Source organism: Homo sapiens, chromosome 2, assembly GCF_000001405.40.
Source record: "Homo sapiens chromosome 2, GRCh38.p14 Primary Assembly".
NCBI classification, from domain to species: domain Eukaryota; kingdom Metazoa; phylum Chordata; class Mammalia; order Primates; family Hominidae; genus Homo; species Homo sapiens.
Window position 1 is genome coordinate 202,139,842 of NC_000002.12, and position 18,957 is coordinate 202,158,798.

General features: G+C 44.7%; 1 protein-coding gene across 2 annotated transcripts in view, besides 1 other annotated feature; it reads left to right on the forward strand.

The window, feature by feature from the left end:
- KIAA2012 overlaps window positions 1–18,957 on the forward strand; it is a 131,934-nt gene that overhangs the window by 66,587 nt on the left and 46,390 nt on the right. For both annotated transcript variants that reach the window (NM_001277372.4, NM_001367720.2), the window contains exon 14: window positions 14,832–14,969. In NM_001277372.4, coding sequence (NP_001264301.2) covers window positions 14,832–14,969 — 138 coding nt within the window. The remainder of the gene's footprint in view (window positions 1–14,831; window positions 14,970–18,957) is intronic.
- Window positions 9,262–10,115: an enhancer, noted in NCBI's record as "NANOG-H3K27ac-H3K4me1 hESC enhancer chr2:203013826-203014679 (GRCh37/hg19 assembly coordinates)". NCBI's record gives its function as "activates a minimal SCP1, AML or CMV promoter by ChIP-STARR-seq in naive and primed H9 embryonic stem cells {active_cell/tissue: H9 hESC(naive and primed)}" and the evidence as "EXISTENCE:reporter gene assay evidence [ECO:0000049][PMID:30033119]".

The following is an 18,957-nucleotide window of genomic DNA, read 5'->3' on the forward strand; positions in this document are numbered from 1 at the left end:
AAAGGCCATGCAAAGGCCTCACATACCCTAAACACACCCCAAATTCACACAGCCCCACGGTTCTATTCCAAAAGAGCTACTATCACCTGCAATGAAAGAGAGGCTCAGCCAGGTGCAGTGGCTCACGCCTGTAATCCCAGCACTTTGGGAGGCCAAGGTGGGCGGATCACGAGGTCAGGAGTTCAAGACCAGCCTGGCCAACATGGTGAAACCCCGTCTCTACTAAAAATACAAAAATTAGCTGGGCATGGTGGCGCACATCTGTAATCCCAGCTACTCGGGAGGCTGAGGCAGGAGAATCGCTTGAATGCAGAAGATGGAGGTTGCAATGAGCCAAGATCACTCCATTGCACTCCAGCCTGGGCAACAGAGCAAGACTCCGTCTCAAAAAAAAAGAAAGAGGGGCTCAACCATGTCACATTAAATCCTAGGTTGAATTGTTAACTTTGTAGTCAGAAGAAGGAACACCAGAGCGAGGGGTCTTAAACTCTCATGCTGGTTCCCCCCGTGAGGCTGTGGAAAGTCAGCTCCCTGAGAAGCCCATGCACCTGCCTCCTTTGTGAAATGATGGGGTGGCTCCCACCAGAACCCATTGGTTTGTCCAAGTCGCAGTAGTCCCAATTCCTTTAGAAGCAGCCCTGGAAAGAAAGGGCATCTGAGGAGAAGTCTAGGGAGCCCCACCAGCCCCAAACACAGAGAAAACAGGGTGGGAGGGAGGTGGGGGTGACTTCCTGGCCTCCTGCACCCCCGCTTACTTCTCGAGGCTAATGGCCTCTTATTAGATTAATCACTGACTTCAGTTTTAACTACTTCCTCAGCCTACTCCATGGCAATGACTAATTTCATGTTTATTATAAAGCATCTGGAACACATTTAGAACAAATTTCTGTCCAGCTGATTTCAGTTCCCTACCTTGATGGGCCACTGGCAATCCAGGGGATTCCTTCCCTGCGGCCTTTCCCACCCTGAAGCAGAGGACATCACAATACTGATCTTAGCAGCACCGTTCCTTTCCATCAGTTCCCCCACTGGCTGCCCCCTCCCTCCCTTCCTTGGGATCTGACCCTATTAGGGGTTCAGTCACATGAAAGATTTGTACTTTTATCACCCTGCTAGCTGAGCGAGGGGAAGACATGTCAAAGGTGGATATTCTGGTATTACCACCCTCTAATGAGAAGTCGCAGACCTAGATTTTGAAAACAATCTCTGGCGTGTGGGTTGGAGAGAAAGCCACAGGGTGCTCTGCAGAGGCTGGGGTGACGGCGTTCCCTGGGCTGGAGGCTTCTGCAGAGGCCCTACCGCTGTGATGGGAGAGCCTTCACCTTGTCTCCTCAGAGGCTGTCCAAGCTGCAGTGGGAGCAGAAACGGTTAGGCTCCTTCCTCCAGCACACGATGATGGCAAATGGTGGGAATGGTTCCCAAGGCACCCCTTCCACACCTGACCCAAGGAGCGGGGCCTAGGCAGCGAATCCATCAAAAGAAACGAGAGTAGCAACTGATATCAGCAACTTCCTAGGAGTTGGAAGAGGGGGTGAGGTGGTGGGGGCAGGGGTAAGAAAACTACAAGGGGAAATGTGGAGATGAAAAGAGAGCAATGAAAAAAGAAAAAGGAGACAACCAGACATGTTTCAACTCCAAGCTCCCATTTCCTCTTTCAAATGAACTGCTTCCCCACTGTGAACAGAATCAAGTATTTATGAAGGCATTTTTTGCATATTAATAGCTGCATATGGAACATTGCCAGAGCTGCAGTCCTGAAGGTACAGTGCCCTTTTTTAATGCAGGTCTTTCAAACTCCTCACAGAATTTGGTATTCTTCAGATTTATTTTCATTTCTGCCTCGTGGCTCCTCCTAAGGCCCTTCATTTGATTAAGGGAAATTAGTTCCCGGGATACTTTCAGAGACAGAGTATTGCTCTTACCTCGGTGAGCTGCTGACATCAATCACTGGAGAAGCTTTTCCTCTCCCCCAAGGCCTCTCTGTGTAGAGGCCGCAGGTTGGGTAAGGTGACCAGCACCTAAAAAGAGTATTAAAATTATAAATGAAAATTTCAAGAGGAAATATTAATATAGCTAGACAGTGGTGGGAGGAAGTAAAACTAGAAAAAAAAGTAAAATAGTTTCATTAACTTTACCATCTATACTCAGTAAAGATTACCTCCAATTTTAAAAGAAAATCATTGAGAACCAGGAGAAAAATAAACAAAAGACAGAAACAATTCATATCCTAAAAGGAGTAACAGAAAATAAATATGAAAAAAATCATTCATCTTGATTAACAATTTATATGCATATTGAGGCAAACTGTAAGTACCATCTTATATCTGAGATTTGTGCCTTCTCTTACTCTTTTTAAATGGTAACACCCAGGGCTGCCAGAGTTTTGGTAAAACTGGTATACTTATACACTTCTGGTGGAACACAGTCTTGGTTCAATCCCTTTGTAAAGCAAAATGGCAATATAACTCATGAAACATGAAAAACATGAAATATCCATTGATTATGTATTTCTGACTTCCGGGAATTTATCCTAAGGAAATAATTCAACAGAAAAAAAGAAAAAAGTCAGTGAAGATGTCCATTGCAGCATTATCTATAACAGAGAAAATCTGGAAACAGCCTAAGAGTGTAACATCAGAGAAATGATTTTGGGGAGGTTTAGAATCTTGTGGCCTCCAGCCGCATGACTCCTAAACCATAATTTCTAATTTTGTGGCTAATTTGTTAGTCCTGCAAAGGCAGTCTGGTTCACAAGTAGGAAGGGGACTTGTTTTGGGAAAGGGCTGTTATCGTCTTTGTTTCAAAGCTAAACTGTAAACTAAGATCCTCCCAAAGTTAGTTCAGCCTACACCCAGGAATGAACAAGGACAGCCTGGAGGTTAGAATCAAGATGGAGTTGGTTAGGTCAGATCTGTTTCACTGTCTCAGTTATAATTTGGCAATGGCAGTTTCACCCTCAGTGAAGGGTTGACTTCAAGCATTAAAAAAGAATGATTGTTCATACTAGAAACTGAGATTTAATACTAATGTTTAACTAACAGGCAACATCACTGACATTTTGGACCAGATAGTCTTTGTTGTGGGGAACTTTCCTGTTGATTGCAGGATGTTAAGCAGTATACTAGATGCCAGTAGCACAACCCTCCCCAGTTGTGACAATCAAAAATGTTTCCAGACCCTGCCAAATGCCCACTGGGGAGCGAAATCACCTCCAATTGACAACCACTGGTTTAATTTTTTTTTTTTTTTTTTTTTCTTTTTGAGATAGAGTCTTGCTCTGTCACCCAGGCTGGAATGCAATGGCACAAACTCGGCTCACTGCAACCTCCGCCTCCAGGGTTCAAGCAATTCTCTTACCTCAGCCTCCCAAGTAACTGGAATTATAGGATCATGCCACCACTCCCAGCTAATTTTTTTGTATTTTAGTAGAGACAGGGTTTCACTGTGTTGCCCAGCCTGGTCTCGAACTCCTGAGCTCAGGCAATCTACCCGCCTTGGCCTCCCAAAGTGCTAGGATGACAGGCGTGAGCCACCGTGCCCAGCCTGATTTAACATTTTAAAAGTGGAAATCAAAATAAGTCAACTATGACTGCAACTATGTAAAAAAAAAAAATGTATCTATTCGGAAAAGACTTGCAAATAATGCATGAAAAAAGTGCTGTCATGCTAACTTGAAATCGAGGTGGATTATGTTATTTGTTTTCCTGGGCTTTTTTTTTTTTTTTCATTGTTTTGCCTTTTTCTAAATTCTACCTATAAGGAAAGACAGATCATGAGGAGAGCTGGTTTTATTCAAGTCTAGCATAAAATAATCTCGGACTCAGTGTATACAACAAGTATTCAGCAAGCTGAACGGGGTCAACACCATAGCACCATTATTTTTTAGCAAATTATCATTGGTTTAAAATATTTAACATTAATCAGGTTTTTATTAGTTTATTGAATAGAGTCATCAGCATTCTCTTTTTAAGGATCTCAATCCCTTTTTGGCATTTTATCCCTCTAACTCTAGACTTTGGGGGACAATGAATTCATCTTTCTGAAAAATTGGAACTCAGAGCATAAAACTCTCATCCATCCAGATCCATCTATGTAAGCTTGGGAAAAGAGGGGCGCTTGAGCCCACTTGTTTATAGAGCTGTCAGGGCAGAGGTTGTCAGTAAAGAGTATCAAAGTACAAGCTCAAACCTTAATTAGATTTCCCAAAAATGATTGCATCTCTTTGTTTAAAATAAGAAAGAAAGCATCTCACCAGTTTTCACATTGTCACTTTTCTCCCTTTGTTTAAACTATTTCCAGGCTAGGGAGAACAAACATCCTTTCTCACATGCCTTATCTTGGGTTTTGTTTTGTTGCTTTGTGGGGCTTAGAACTTTGATAGTATCCTAAAAATCCTGTTAAATTGGTGTTATATCCCTTTCTTCACTTCTGTTTCAACCTATACTATCTCTTGAGTTCAGGTTTCATAAGTTTACAACAGTATAAATTCATATTTAATCTTATGTATCCTAAGTGTATCTCTTTTGGATTTCAAAGAGTAGCCTGTAATTCTAGCTTACTAGGATTTGGTTTGAATAAACCTGTGTTTACCGCCATCTGTTTCCTTGGTGGTTTCACAGATGGTGTTCATATCCCCGTCAGCTCTCCTCTTTCAGGACCAAAAACAACATGCACACGAAAAAAAAACAAAAGATAAAACACCTGTAGACACACTATGTTTTGTACAAGGGTACAATCGTAACCTTTTATTTCAGTGTCCTTTTAAGCCGTACCCTACCCTGCCTTCTATAAGGCTGTTATCTGCCTTTGTATCCTTTGTGTCTGGCACAGTTCCTGGTACATGGGAGCCACTCAAAAATAAATCAACAGGCCGGGCACAGTGGCTCACACCTGTAATCCCAGCACTTTGGGAGGCCAAGGTGGGCGGATCACTTGAAACCAGAAGTTCGAAACTAGCCAGGGCAACAAAGTGAAACTAAACCTGTCATTAACATTAAGATCCATGTTCTGAATAGAAAAACCCTATCTCCTCTAAGTAGAATTCAGAGATTGCACTTGTTTTATTTTCAGTGATAATGAGATGGAAGTTCAACTGATATTTTCCCCACAACTCACACAATCTCTGGGCATTTCCTGCCATTGGTCATTATGATTTGGTTTTTCCTTCTCTGGAAAAGCTTTGGGTCATGTGCAGACTCGGGGATGTCACTAGGCATCCTTCTTGGAGATCTCTCTGAGGCTGACAAGTAAGATTGGTCTCCACACCAATGCCTAAGAGAATTCGCTTCTGCATTTCCCCATCAAGAGAAGTGCTCTTGACTCCCTACCCTGCCTTTGTTTCTTGTTTCTAAAGTCAGCTGTCTTTTCCAAGACACTGCCAACGTTCACCTATTTCCATGCCTGTGCTCACTCTCCCTTCTCTCTCTCCCCACCCCTCTGGTTTTGTAAATAGCTTTGGTTGTGGAACTTTATTCAAAGGCTTTTTGAAGATCTAAGCAAACTTCATCTTCTGGTTCAACCTTACCCACAGGATTACTTTGTCTGCCCCAAAACGCCCTAGACAATTTAAGGCTAATTTCCTGAGAGGGGTTTGTTTTTAATTACAAAAGGAAGGCTTTTATTTGCTGAGTTTTCACTGCAACTATCATTTATTCCAATAAGTCTGTATTAATCGATGTCTTGGCTGCTAGTGACACATAATATCTGCGTAGTTAATTTTTTTCCTTTTTTCTTTGTATTATGAAAAATTTCAAAGATATGTAAAAGGATAGTATGATGAACCTCCACATACCTATCACAAGCTTTAACAATTATCTCCCCATTCTCTTGAGAGGGTCTTTTTTTTTTTTTTTTTTTTTTTTGAGATGGAGTCTCACTCTGTTGCCCAGGCTGGAGTGCAGTGGTACAGTCTCGGCCCACTGCAACCTCTGCCTCCAGGATTCAAGCGATTCTCCTGCCTCAGCCTCCCAAGTAGCTGGGATTACAGGCGCCCGTCACCACACCCGGCTAATTTTTGTAGTTTTAGTAGAGTCGGGGTTTCGCCATGTTGACCAGGCTGGTCTTGAACTCCTGACCTCAGGTGATCCACCCACCTTGGCCTCCCAAAGTGCTGGGATTACAGGCTTGAGCCACCCGCCTGGCCAAGAGGGTCTTTTTAAATGGTAAAAACAGCCAATGTTTTTGAGTTTTACTATGCACAGGGTTTAGGATTATCTCATCCTTACAACATCCCCATGTAGTTGGTACAGTTATTATCCCTGTTTACAGATAAGGAAATAGATGTCAGGACTAATAGGGCCCCTTTCACACATGAACCGCACTTTAAAGAGGCCTAGTCATTTGGAAATCCAATAAAGCTGCATTTAAATCCCAACTTCTAGGCCAGGAGTGGTGGCTCACATCCATAATCCCAGCACTTTGGGAGACCAAGGCTGGAGGATTACTTGAGCTCAGGAGTTTGAGACCAGCCTGGGCAACAAAGTGAGACCCCATCTCTATAAAAAAGTAGCAGCCGGGTGCAGTGGCTCACGCCTGTAATCCCAGAACTTTGGGAGGCTGAGGTGGGTGGATTACGAGGTCAGGAGATGGAGACCATCCTGGCTAACAAAGTGAAACCCTGTCTCTACTAAAAATACAAAAAATTAGCCAGGTGTGGTAGTACTCACCTGTAGTCCCAGATACTCGGGAGCCTGAGGCAGAAGAATCTCTTGAACCCGGGAGGTGGAGGTTGCAGTAAGCTGAGATTGCGCCACTGCACTCCAGCCTGGGTGACAGAGCAAGACTCCATCTCAAAAAAAAAAAAAAAAAAAAAGCCAGGTGTGTTGGTGCATATCTGTAGTCCCAGCTACTCAGGAGGCTGAGGCAGGAGGATTGCTTGAGCCTGGGAGGTCAAGGCTGCAGTGAGCCATGGTCATACGACCGCACTCCAGTCTGAGTGACAGAGCAAGACTCTGTCTCAAAAATGAATAAAATAAAATAAATCCCAACTTCTTCCTTATAGGCTATGTGGCTTTAGGCAGGCTATTTAACCTCTCTGAGGCACAGTTTCCTCATAGGGTAATAATATTTCCCTCATGGGGTCATGATGAGGATGAGATGAAACATATTGAAAGGGATTCACACAATGCTTGGCAGTAGGCAGCCCCCAATACGTTATAATCATTACTGTTGTACTCCCCTGTCCCTTTCCTTGAAAGCCATTATAAAACAGAACTTGGAGCTTGTATACAATCTAAAGGTTTAGACATGGAAAAGGAGAAGCTTGAAAAGCAGGAATAATTTAAAGGAGGACAATGAGTCAATCTACCAATTGTTCCTCCCTTTCCCATCCCCAACCCCCAATTCAAGCATCCCTCTCTCTGCCTCCCAAATATCCTCCATGCCTTCTGGAGTGTTCACTGTGTTTCACTGTTTAAAATTCTAACCATTAGAGATTATTTTGGGTTCCTCATACCTCTTTGTGAAAGTTTCTTAATTGCTTTCGCCATATACCTAAGGGCGCACAGCTGAAGGTCTAGGGGCAGAGGGGAGGCAGGGAATTTGGGGGCCAGGAGCACTGTGTCAGCAGGGCACCACGGCCCACAGCACAGGGCTGCAGAGGAAAATGTAGAGGTCGGAGGACAGAAGAGCCCAGTGGAGGGGAAGGGGTCAGGAAAGTGTGGAGGGCCAGGAAAGTAAAAGAAAGGACATTTTTCTTTCTCTTCTTCCAGCCTTCTGCTGTCACGCATGACCAGGACTACTTCAACTCCATAGTCCGGCTGAATTTGGGTTAAACTTTTATGGGCGAGTCTGGGAATCAAAACACCATTTTTTTTTCCTAGTAAAAATCGACTGATTTAAAAATGACCTTTTCACAGTGGAATCAGTTTGCAAGTTGAGATTCCCTGTCTGTCGGTTGTCAGATTGCAAAAGTCCCACCAGACCCAACAAAACAAGGAAGTCACACAGTTTTGAGTTCAAGTTGTGAGTTAGAAGGAGCTGGGGAGTTGTTCAGATTTCCCACCTTTCACCCCTCGACGTCCCATCTCCCAGTCTAAAATAGAATGTGTCATCTCTCAAACACAGGCACAGTTCCGGCCTGAATACAGCTAGCCACCCCCTCACAGAAAAAGCTGGCTTCTACCTCCCTTGGGGCAGAAGAGATCACTGTTTTGGCTTGAAATTTTTCTCCTCCAGCTCCTGCTGAGCCAGATAAACAGTGATTCTGTTGTATCAACAAAGCACGTAATAATGTTGAAGACAATAGCAATTAGAACTCACAGCTAAGATTTACTTATAGTAGAAGCTCTGGAATGAAAGTGTCCAGAGTTTCATTCAGAATTTCCTGGAAGAGAACAATGAGCTTAGCCCCATTTTCTAGGTAGGGAAGCTGAGGCACAGAATGACTTAGCCAAAGTCACGAAATGAGCCCCTCACAGGAGCAAAGATTGGAGGTTGCCATGTTTCTCTTCCGAGGCTCATGTTTGCTAGCTGTTCGGCTAATTTGCTAAACACTCAGGAGGATGTCAAATCTCCTTCTATAAAGTTGAGGACATTAAAAAATAGATGAAGACCAAAATTCCTGACAGGCGGAGAACAAGAAAGCTCTTGTTTGGCTACCAAACTAACTGTCTCCACCGTGCCTACTTGTGGAGCCCTCGCAAAACGGCCCACTCAGCCCATTTCACCAGCACCAAATTCCCTGCAGAATGTAAAAAGTGGGCCCAGACCTCACGTGGCCAAGAAGAGCAGGATGACCCCAGGTGACAGGTGCTAGACTGCTGGGCACATTTGTGTGGGTGGAAGCCCGCTGTGGCTCGGGGGTTCTGCTGCTCCTCAGAAAGAGGCTATGCGGCCAGGCTGGGTTGCTGAGCTGAGATCCCAGGCGTCCATCTGACCTCCTGCACACTGGAGGCCTCCTCCCTTCCAGCCAGGGAAACCTAGACAGAGACAGAACCTCAAAGTGAGGACTTTGGGGGTGGCCAGGGTGGTCGGCCTTGCCACAGACAGAGTGCCCTCCAAGTCAGCCTGAGGTTGACAATGTATACAACGCCCGGCCCATTCGGATCCCCTTCCTAGGCAGTCCCATCTCAGGGAGCCCACGGAGTCCCAGGTACGCTCAGCCCCACGTCTGGCCCCATTCCCACTGCCCGCTTTTAGGTCCGCAGGCTGCCATGGGCAAGGAACAACAGGGCCCGGGAAGGCCAAACACGGGGAAAGTTGCCAGGCCCTTTGCTCCTGCAGGAAGGGCCCCTTCCAGGATTTAGTTCCCCTACCCTAGCAGGGGGCGGGAGGACAGGGAAGCTCAGAATCCCAGCCCTCCTTCTCCCCTACCCCCAGTGACTAAATCTCTCAGATCTCTGTGTGCCCCTGGGACTCAGAGCCAACCAAGGGGAGTCAAAGGACAGACTATCAGCCAACGAGGGGAGCCTGGGGGTCAGAGGAGGGACTGACTCTTCCTTTTGTTTACTCACAGGAGGCGACAAATGCCCTTTGTGCACAGAGGTTTGATGTGGCAACTTGAGAGACCACCTAAGGGTTTCAGCAAAGGCTCCCCCGACCCGCTCTTCAAACGTTAAGATAATGGCGGGGTGTGTGCCCCAGCACATTTCAGATCTTGGTTACAAAGGCCCTCCTCCTTTCTGTTTTCTTCCTCCAGCTCAGCTTGCCCGCAGGTTCCCGGAGCCTCTTGGCAGCCTGTTCTCCGGCAGAATGAAGTTGTGAGCTGCGTGGGAGGGAGTTAGACAGTGAGAGTGTTGCAGCCTCCTTAATGAGAGACAATCGCTCTTCTTGGAGCCATTAAACCGCAGCTACAAAGATGGGGAACCCCAATTAGAAAGGAGTGGGAGAAGTAATGAGGAGGGCCGGAGGGACACCTACAGGACAGATCCTTATCTCTGGTGGCTCTGTGGGACCCAGGGTGGAGACACAGCCACTTGGGTTTAGAATTTCATCTCCTTCTTAAGGTTAGACTTCCCAAAGTCTGTTTGGAGAGCCAACCCATGGTAGTGACCATTTAAAATATAACAGTTGAAAGGAGGAGGAAAAATTACTGGGGAGAAGGATTTCTCCCTGGGTCTGTAGCTCAGATATTATAATCCAAGAGTAAGAAAGGAAACAGTAAGATGCGTCTGTAATTTTAATGGATGTTCTCTTTAAGTTTTGCTATATTATATATGTGTGTAAGTCTAGATATTTGTACGGAACCAATAGCTCTCCCTTTTTTCTGTGTGATAGCTCAACTGAATCACATTGTGTTTACAGCAAGATAATAATCCTGGATTTTCCATGGCTCACTCTGTCAGAGTATAAGATTAGCTCTTGAATTCATTAACAGTCATCTCCTTTTAAATGTCAGATAACTTTTTAAATGCCAAGTATTTACGCAATGCCTTCTGTGCAATTCAAATCAGCTTTACCAAATTAACTCGTTAATCTTTATTGTTTCATTTACTAAAGAGAAAGGCTTCCAGGTGTTTTTAGCAGAACATAAAAATATTAAAGTATTTGCAGTACAATATAGGTGAAGGGATGGGTTCTGTTTTTCTGCTAAACATTTCACCATTCCATCAGTTTTTTTGGTTTGTTTGTTTGGTGTGGGGTTTTTTTGTTTGTTTTTTTGTTTTTTGTTTTTTGTGTTTTTTTTTGAGACAGAGTCTCGCTCTGTCGCCGAGGCTGGAGTGCAGTGGCGCGATCTCCGCTCACTATAACGCTCACCTCCTGGGTTCAGGCAATTCTCATGCCTCAGCCTCCCAAGTAGCTGGGACCACAGGCTTGCACCACCATGCCTGGTTGATTTTTGTATTTTTAGTAGAAATGGGTTTTGCTGTGTTGGCCAGGCTGGTCTTGAACTGCTGGCCTCAAGTGATCCAGCCACCTCAGCCTCCCGCAGTCCTGGGATTACAGGCATAAGCCACCGCACCTGTCCATTCCATTAGTTTTTAAATCATCTCCACCAAAGTATTCACATAAAAGAAACAAAAAACCTTCAGGCATCTCTGCTTTCTTCAGTTCCCCCATTTTCCTTCCCTTCCATTTAACCTTGTGTTTTCTTCTCTCTCCTGTACCTTTAGAGACCTTGACTCCTGATCACTATTTATTCTTCTGTCTTTGCTCTCAACATACCCAAGAGCTGCAAGTGTCAGTTTTGATTGCTCTGCCACTCAGAAAACAGAGGGGTGCCTCATGGGGTCAAGGATGGAGCCCAGAAGACTGGGGCAGACAGGCCTAGAAATCAGGAATTCCAATTTCCTTTTAAAAGATCCCCTGCTTACCTCTAAATAATCAGACCACAGGGCCAGGCACGGTGGCTCACTCCTGTAATCTCAGCACTTTGAGAGGCCAAGGCGGGTGGACCACCTGAGGTCAGGAGTTCGAGACCAGCCTGGCCAACATAGCAAAACCCCATCTCTACTAAAAATACAAAAATTAGCCGGGCATGGTGGCACACACCTGTAGTCCCAACTACTCGGTAGACTAAAGGAGGAGAATTGCTTGAATCAGGGAGGCAGAGGTTGCAGTGAGCCAAGATTGCGCCACTGCACTCCAGCCTGGGCAACAGAGCAAGACTCTGTCTCAAAAAATAATAATAATAATAAAATAATTCAATAAATAAATAATCAGACCACAGAGATACCAGCTACCCTGATTGCTAAAGATAGATTCATCCAGGGCTGGCTCCAGCTTGTCATCCAGCTCTCTCCTCAGAGCAGCCTCCTCTGACCATTTAAGCCAAGCGGCCACCCCCTTCCCATTACCCTCCCTCCTAGCACCATTGTGTTGTCTTCACAGACTAGTCACCACCTAAAAGCATCATCTTGCTTATGTGTGTGTTTGTTTGTCTGACACATAGTAGGCACTTAATAAATATCAGTTTAATGGATAAATGAAAAACCAACCAAGCACGTGACTTTCATTTTTATTTTTGTATTTGTTATTACTTTTATATTTATTTATTTTAGAGACAGGGCCTTACTCTGTTGCCCAGGCTGGAGTGCAGTGGCATGATCATAGCTCACTGCAGCCTCAAACTCTTGGGCTCAAGGATCTTACCACCTCAGCTTTCTGAGTAGCTGGGACTACAGGCACACACCACCACACCCAGCTAATTTTCTTTAAATTTTTTTGTAAAGACAGGATCTCACTGTGTTGCCCAGGTTGGCCTCAAACTCCTGAACTCAGGCAATCCTCCTGCCTCAGCCTTCCAAAGTGATGAGATTACGGATATGAGCCACTGCACCGGACCTAGCATGCGACTTTCTTTCCTGCTTTCAATTTTCTGACTTTTTCTTCTCCCATCACTACCTCTTCTTTATATGTTTAATCTTTTTTTTCCTCCCATATCCCAAATCCCCTTTCACTATCATTCATTCATTAGAACACTTGAACGTAATGAGCAAAAACAGTACTTCACATTCCAGTGGGTATAGAGCCTTCACTCAAAACATTCCATCAAGTTAGAATTGATGGCCTCTGAACATTAGGGAGATGAGCCATATGGTCAGGAGAATTGTTTTATCGAAAGATTTATAGGTCAAGTGCTTTGGGGAGACTTTTCTCAAAGCCTCTCAACTCCCCCACTCTTCAATCTGAGCCCCAAATAAGGAGTTAAAGTAATTTCAGGCGTTGGAACTCGTCTTGACTATGCCTTTTGTTCTCCCATCTAACACAAAATCTTCTCTTGGGGATAATGGAGAAATTTCCCTCAAATCATTATCATCTGATTTCTATTATTCTATCCAGTGATTCATGCATGATTGTGGAGGCTAGAAAGCTTGAAATGCCTTGTCTGAGTCTAGCTTGGACCAAATGCTTTCATTTTATCGAGAAATGGAGAGGGACTGTCTCACCCTGAAAAGCTAATCAGATATGTGGCTGAGATGATAAAAAAATTGGATGTGTGTTTATCCAGAAAAATCTTTATCTCTAGCCACATTTCAAAGCAAAAGAAAAGGGTGTGGGTGTTCATTGGAATGATGACTGTTTGTGGGGACTCACCAATTGTTAATTCATCATTAATGTTTAAAAGTAATATAAATGTTATGGGAGGGAGAGTTTATGACTGCCCAGGGAGATGGCCTTCTGAGAGTCTCCTAGAAAATATGGAAATTATCAAATCCACACTCAGGGTGATCTCATGACATATTAATGTATGTGACCCCAGCAAATTTGTCCCAAAAATAATAAATTTTATCTTTGGAAATGAGGAACCAGTGCTACCTAGAGGACTGTCTTCTGGAAGTCAACACATACTTCCTGTAAAGGTATCTTCACTGCTCCCTCCTCCTTTGAATTGAGGTGGGCCATAACCTGTTAGTTACTCTTTTGTTCAGCCAATATGTATCAAGTGTGTGTTCATTTCCAGACCCTGTGCCAGAAACTGCTGGGACAATGGGAACGGAACAGCCATGGTTCCTGCCTTCAGGGGGCTTCCAGTCTAGAGGAGGAGGAGAGATGGCTGCACAAGCCTCAGCAATCATTGTGGTCAATGGTGGGGAGGTGCTCATGCTCTGGGTGGTCACAGGGGCACAGGGAAGCCATACTTGAAAGATGAAGAAGAGTCAGAAGAAGGGGAGAGGGAAGGACACTTACAAAGGTCTTGCTCCAGGAGCTCAAGGGCTGGTGCCCATGTGGCCCTCTGCACCTGCTATTCCCATAGCCAAGTAAACACTTCATGCAGATAGACCTTAGAACCTTCCCTCACCATCTTCAGAGCTTTGCTCAGTCATTGCTTTTTCATGGGACCTTCCTTGACTCTCTGCTTAAAATTGCAGCCTCCACTTCCATCCCCAGCTATTCCCTCAGCCCACTTTGTGTTTTATTTTTCTCCCTGTCACAAACCACCTTCAGATGTACTTATGTTCCACTTCCTTATTGATTCTGTCTTCCCTTTCAGTGGAATGGATGTGCACTCTTCATGAGGGTGGAGACTTTCATCCCTTTGGGCACTGCCCTATCTGCTCTGCCTGGCATAGAAAAGACACCCAATAAATATTTGTTGTGTGACTAAATGAAGCAGGAGAGATCATCCAGGGCCAGGCAGGAAGGGCTTATAAACCTTGTAAGCCAGTTGGCCTTCCTCTTGAGGACAATGGCCTTTGAAGGTATCAAGCAGAGAAGTGATATGGTCCAGTATGCATCTTCGAAGGAGCAGCCAGGTTGCAATGTGGGGCATGGGCTGGAGGGCAACTTCAGATCCAATTCTGTGGTGTCCTGAAATGTGACACCCTTTGTACAGCCCAGAAGCTCGGAGAGCCCCCGGGGCCTCCCAGACTCCTCTGTTAGCTCATTCTTCTTTCTGTCTCTGCTACATTTGTTCAAATCAGTCTTCCTAACATATCAAATTCATTTTTGTCATCTTGGAAATAAACTGGAATCTTGCTATAACCATATTTGCTGCAAAGCAGATTTGATAACCATTCAGCCACTATATAAGTATCAAAAATATCTCATTAAAAAGGAGCCTTCAACAGATGGTAATTTTAGCTCTGCCATATAGCAGCTAATGGCTTTGGGCAAGTTGCTTAACCTCCCAGAGCCTCCTGGTTTCCTGTCTGTATAATGGGAGTAACAGTACCTGCCTTACAGGGTTGTTGTGAGGGTTAAATAATTAAAGCCCTGGGACCTAGGAAGGTCCCTTTTTCCACTTCCGTAGGCATTAATTAATAAACAGTCTTGGGCTATTTTCTCTCTATAGGGTCCTCTGTGTCTTCAACAGTAACAATAGTTGCTGCGTATTATTGTTTCAATGATTTTTAAAATTGCCTTCTGTAAATATTTGGGGATTTGGACTAGCTCTTGTTGCACTGTATATCATTCATATGAAAGTTCGGGCTTTCTGCTTCTCTTCACAGGGAGCCCAGCAGTCCTTGGAGGCAGCAGCTCAGAAGACAGGAGAGCCTCAAAGTTGTATAAATAAAGCGCTGATATGTTCAAACAGAAAAGAATTTTACACGCGCAAGCTGCACATCGACATGACGCCGTTCCTGAAGGTGATCTCACACTGAGAAGACGAGGGGTTTTATAGACACAAACACAGGAATTCCAGTTAATACACTTCTGCATGGTACAAAAACAGCTTCAGAAGTCCCTCAGAGCTCCTGCATTATCAGAAGGGACAGAAAATAGGCAGTTTGTAGCAGATGAAGAAAGAACAAATTAGGACAGTAATCACAGCCAGCCATCGGGGACAAATCAGTCGGGTGTCTGGTTTGGGTGGTGGGGGACAGGGAACAGAGAGGAGAAAGAGTAACTTTAAACCACCTCATAAAACAGTCAAATATAATTCATTTTATCTTGACAGTAGCTAAAATAATTGTTACTGTTTTACCACTGTCACTTGGTAGAGTTGATATTACTACTATAGAGAAGACTGATTCTTGAGTTAACTATTTAGACGTCAACTGCAAATTCCTTTCTGGATATCTGGCCTTGCTTTCTGTTCTCTAAGAGTTCATTGATCTCACAAGCTCAGCTTCATTTCAAGTTAAGGGTTCTGAGGGTTTCTATAGTGAGGGTGGCATTTGTCCATCTTTGCAATACTCCCTCCCACCCCAGCATCGAACACAGTGCCCGACACATGGAAGGTGCTCATTAAATGCTCCATGAATTGGCCCATCCTTTTCATCGCACACTCTCTGGTTTAGGGCCCCTTTCCTACCCATTCTTTGCCCTCCTCAGAGCTTACTGAACTGGAAATAAATAGCCATGGAGTGAAAGAAACTGACCAGGAACACAGCCAGGCCTGGCATGGAAGGATCTCAGATCCTTCATAGTACCCTTGAGGAAATATTCCAGGCCTTTGATAAGAAATGACTGAGAAAGACAGGAATGGGGCAGAAGAAACCAAATACTTGCGGAGTGCATGATGGTGGCTCTATCTAGTGCTATAGACTGGCAGGGCCTTTGGAGGTCATGAGGGTCACCCTCCGAATTCCCTGGGCTGCCCCAATCCCAATTCTACAAGGTGGGGCTTTGATTAAGAGTCATGCATTTGCCCAAAATCTGTCTCTGTCCATGACTGGGCTCTGCTTTTCGGGGCTTCCTCTTAGATAGGCTCTTCCCCAAGGGTGGCAAGTTGGCCACCAGCTTCTATTTCCCAGGTCATTCCGGTACTGAATATAAACCAAATGTGGGTCACTTATCCATACCCAAATGAAATGCCATTGGCCCACCCTGGAGCCACAGGGACTGAAAATGGGAAGAGAAAGGATGTCTGACAGAGGAAAATGGGGTACTGAAAACTATAAGAAGGAATTTCAGCTACTCAGGAGATTGAGGTGGGAGGATCGCTTGAGTCCAGCAGTTCAAGGATGTAGTGTGGTATGATTACACCTGTGAATAGCCACTGCAACCCAGCCTGGGCAACATAGTGAGACCCCATCTCTATAGAAAAAAAAAACTACAAGAAAGAAGAATGATTCTGGACGTCAAAAGAAAAGATATTTGTTACGAGTATTCAAAAAATACTGCCATACTCCATGACTTATCTGGTGAAACTATCCCTTTTATTCTTAGCAACAGTTTAGTTCTTCACTTAGGGCTGAGAGAATTATGAATCGTACTTTCTGGGAGGAAATATCATCACAGTCACCATTCATTAACCAATATTTGAGCACCTGCTATCTACTATGTGTTTGGCAGTTTCTGGGCATTTGGGATACATCAGTAAACAAAACAGACCAAGATCCCTACCCTGCTCCAGGATAGTACAGGTAACAGACAACAGACCTAATACACAAGCAGAGTGTGTAGCATGTTCAAAGGTGATAGCTGCTAAGGAAATGAGATAAGAAAGTGACTCACGCCTGTAATCCCAGCACTTTGGGAGGCCAAGGCGGGCAGATCACGAGGTCAGGAGATCGAGACCAGCCTGGCTAACACGGTGAAACCCCATCTCTACTAAAAATACAAAAAATTAGCCGGGTGTGGTGGTGGGCACCTGTAGTCCCAGCTACTCGGGAGGCTGAGGCAGGAGAATGGCATGAACCCGGGAGGTGGAGCTTGCAGTGAGCCCAGATCACGCCACTGCACTCCAGCCTGGGTGATAGAGTGAGACTCTGTCTCAAAAAGAAAATATGGAGCATCTAAGAACGCAGAATTCAAAGTGGGGAATTTTACAATAATTGCTTGTATATTTAGTATCCACAATGCTTTTGTATTACACTTTTTTTGTCCAGCAATTTTGGCACAGTATTATAGAAGGAAAAGTGTTGTCATCCCTAAGGCCCACTTTCCTGTCCACCTCCCTCAAGACTCACAGAAATGGCAACTCAGCCTGCTTCCAAAGGACTCACGAAGTACACGCTCGGTACACTTTCTGACTCCCAGACCAGTCTTTGCCCCAAAGACCTTCTCTTGGAAATGTTCAGTGTTCACTGCTCTCCCTAGATAGACCTTCTCCTTATGGATGTGGTAGCTCCCAGATTCCTGGGGATTGCCATGTAGTAAGACACAGTCTCAGGGTAGTACAGACAAAGATGATGAGTTCAAACAGAGAAGAGCACACAGGCTGTCCTCCACACCTGGAGCTGTGTGGAAACCAACTCATCCTATACATTCATTTGTGTATCTCCTGCCTGTCCGCAGGGCATGTCATTCATTTTTGCCTGGGGCATGTAGGAAGCATTGCACGTTGCAGGGGATGAGGGTAGGTGATAAGAAAGGTCAAGGCAGAACAAGGGAATGGAAAGAGATAAAAATAATCACAGTTGCTAACATTACTGAGGACTTATTCTGTGTCTGGCTTTGTTCTAAATTGTATATGCATGCATTTATTTAATTCATAAAATGAATCTAAGTATGTAGAATTACTCCATTTTACAGATGAGAAAACTAAGGCATTGAGAGGCTAAGTAACTTACCGAATGTCACACAGTTGGTAAATGGCAGAAGCAAGATTTGGTCAGGCAGCCCAGTTCCAGTGCCTATGCTCAACCATCTGTTATAAAGCCTCACTGCAGCCCCCAGCTGAGCCCTGTCCAATCAAAAACACTGCCTATCATGTTAGCTAAGCATCCAGCACTCCTTCTAGAAAATTCCATTCCTATGGACACATTCCATCTGCACCAGGAAGATTTTCTGACCCCACAGGATTTTGCCCTTCCCTCCAGTCCCACTCAAGTTCTGTGGAGACAATATAAAGCTTTCTCTCCCACTGATCATTCGGTTCCCCTCAGCCAACATATTTTTATTTTTAGACAGTCTCTCTCTGTCACTCAGGCTGGAGTGCAGTGGCACGATCTTGGCTCACTGCAAGCTCCCCCTCCTGGGTTCATGCCATTCTCCTGCCTCAGCCTCCCAAGTAGCTGGGACTACAGGCGCCCGCCACCATGCCAGGCTAATTTTTTGTATTTTTAGTAGAGACGGGGTTTCACCATGTCAGCCAGGATGGTCTCCATCTCCTGACCTCGCAATCCGCCTGTCTCAGCCTCCCAAAGTGCTGGGATTACAGGCGTGAGCCACCGTGCCCGGCCCCCTCAGCCAACATATATTAAATATGCTCTGAGTATCAGACACTGTGATAGGCACTGAGGATACAGAGATGAATCATCTCTATCCTTGACCTTCCAGGGAGCCTAGAATCTAACAGGAAGATAAACAATGAAACAGGTAATAGCACAATGTTGTGGCAGAGGCAGGCTCACGTTACTACAGGAGAGCATTCATTCATTTTCCATTTGTTGCATGTGAACTTCTCACATTTTAAGAACCTCTTTACAACACTGAAGGCAGGGTTTCACCATGTTGGCCAGGCTGGTCTCAAACTCCTGACCTCAGGTGATCCACCTGCCTCAGTCTCCCAAAGTGCTGGGATTACTAGCGTGAGCCACTGCACCCAGCTGAGACCAGCCTGTTTTCTAAATCAAAAAAGAAAAAAAAATTTTTTGAACCATGTTTTTAAAAACTCAATTTGTGTTTTTTCAAAAAGAAATGGTAATTGATGAATGAATAAGGATAGAGGTTTTTTTCAGGGACTTT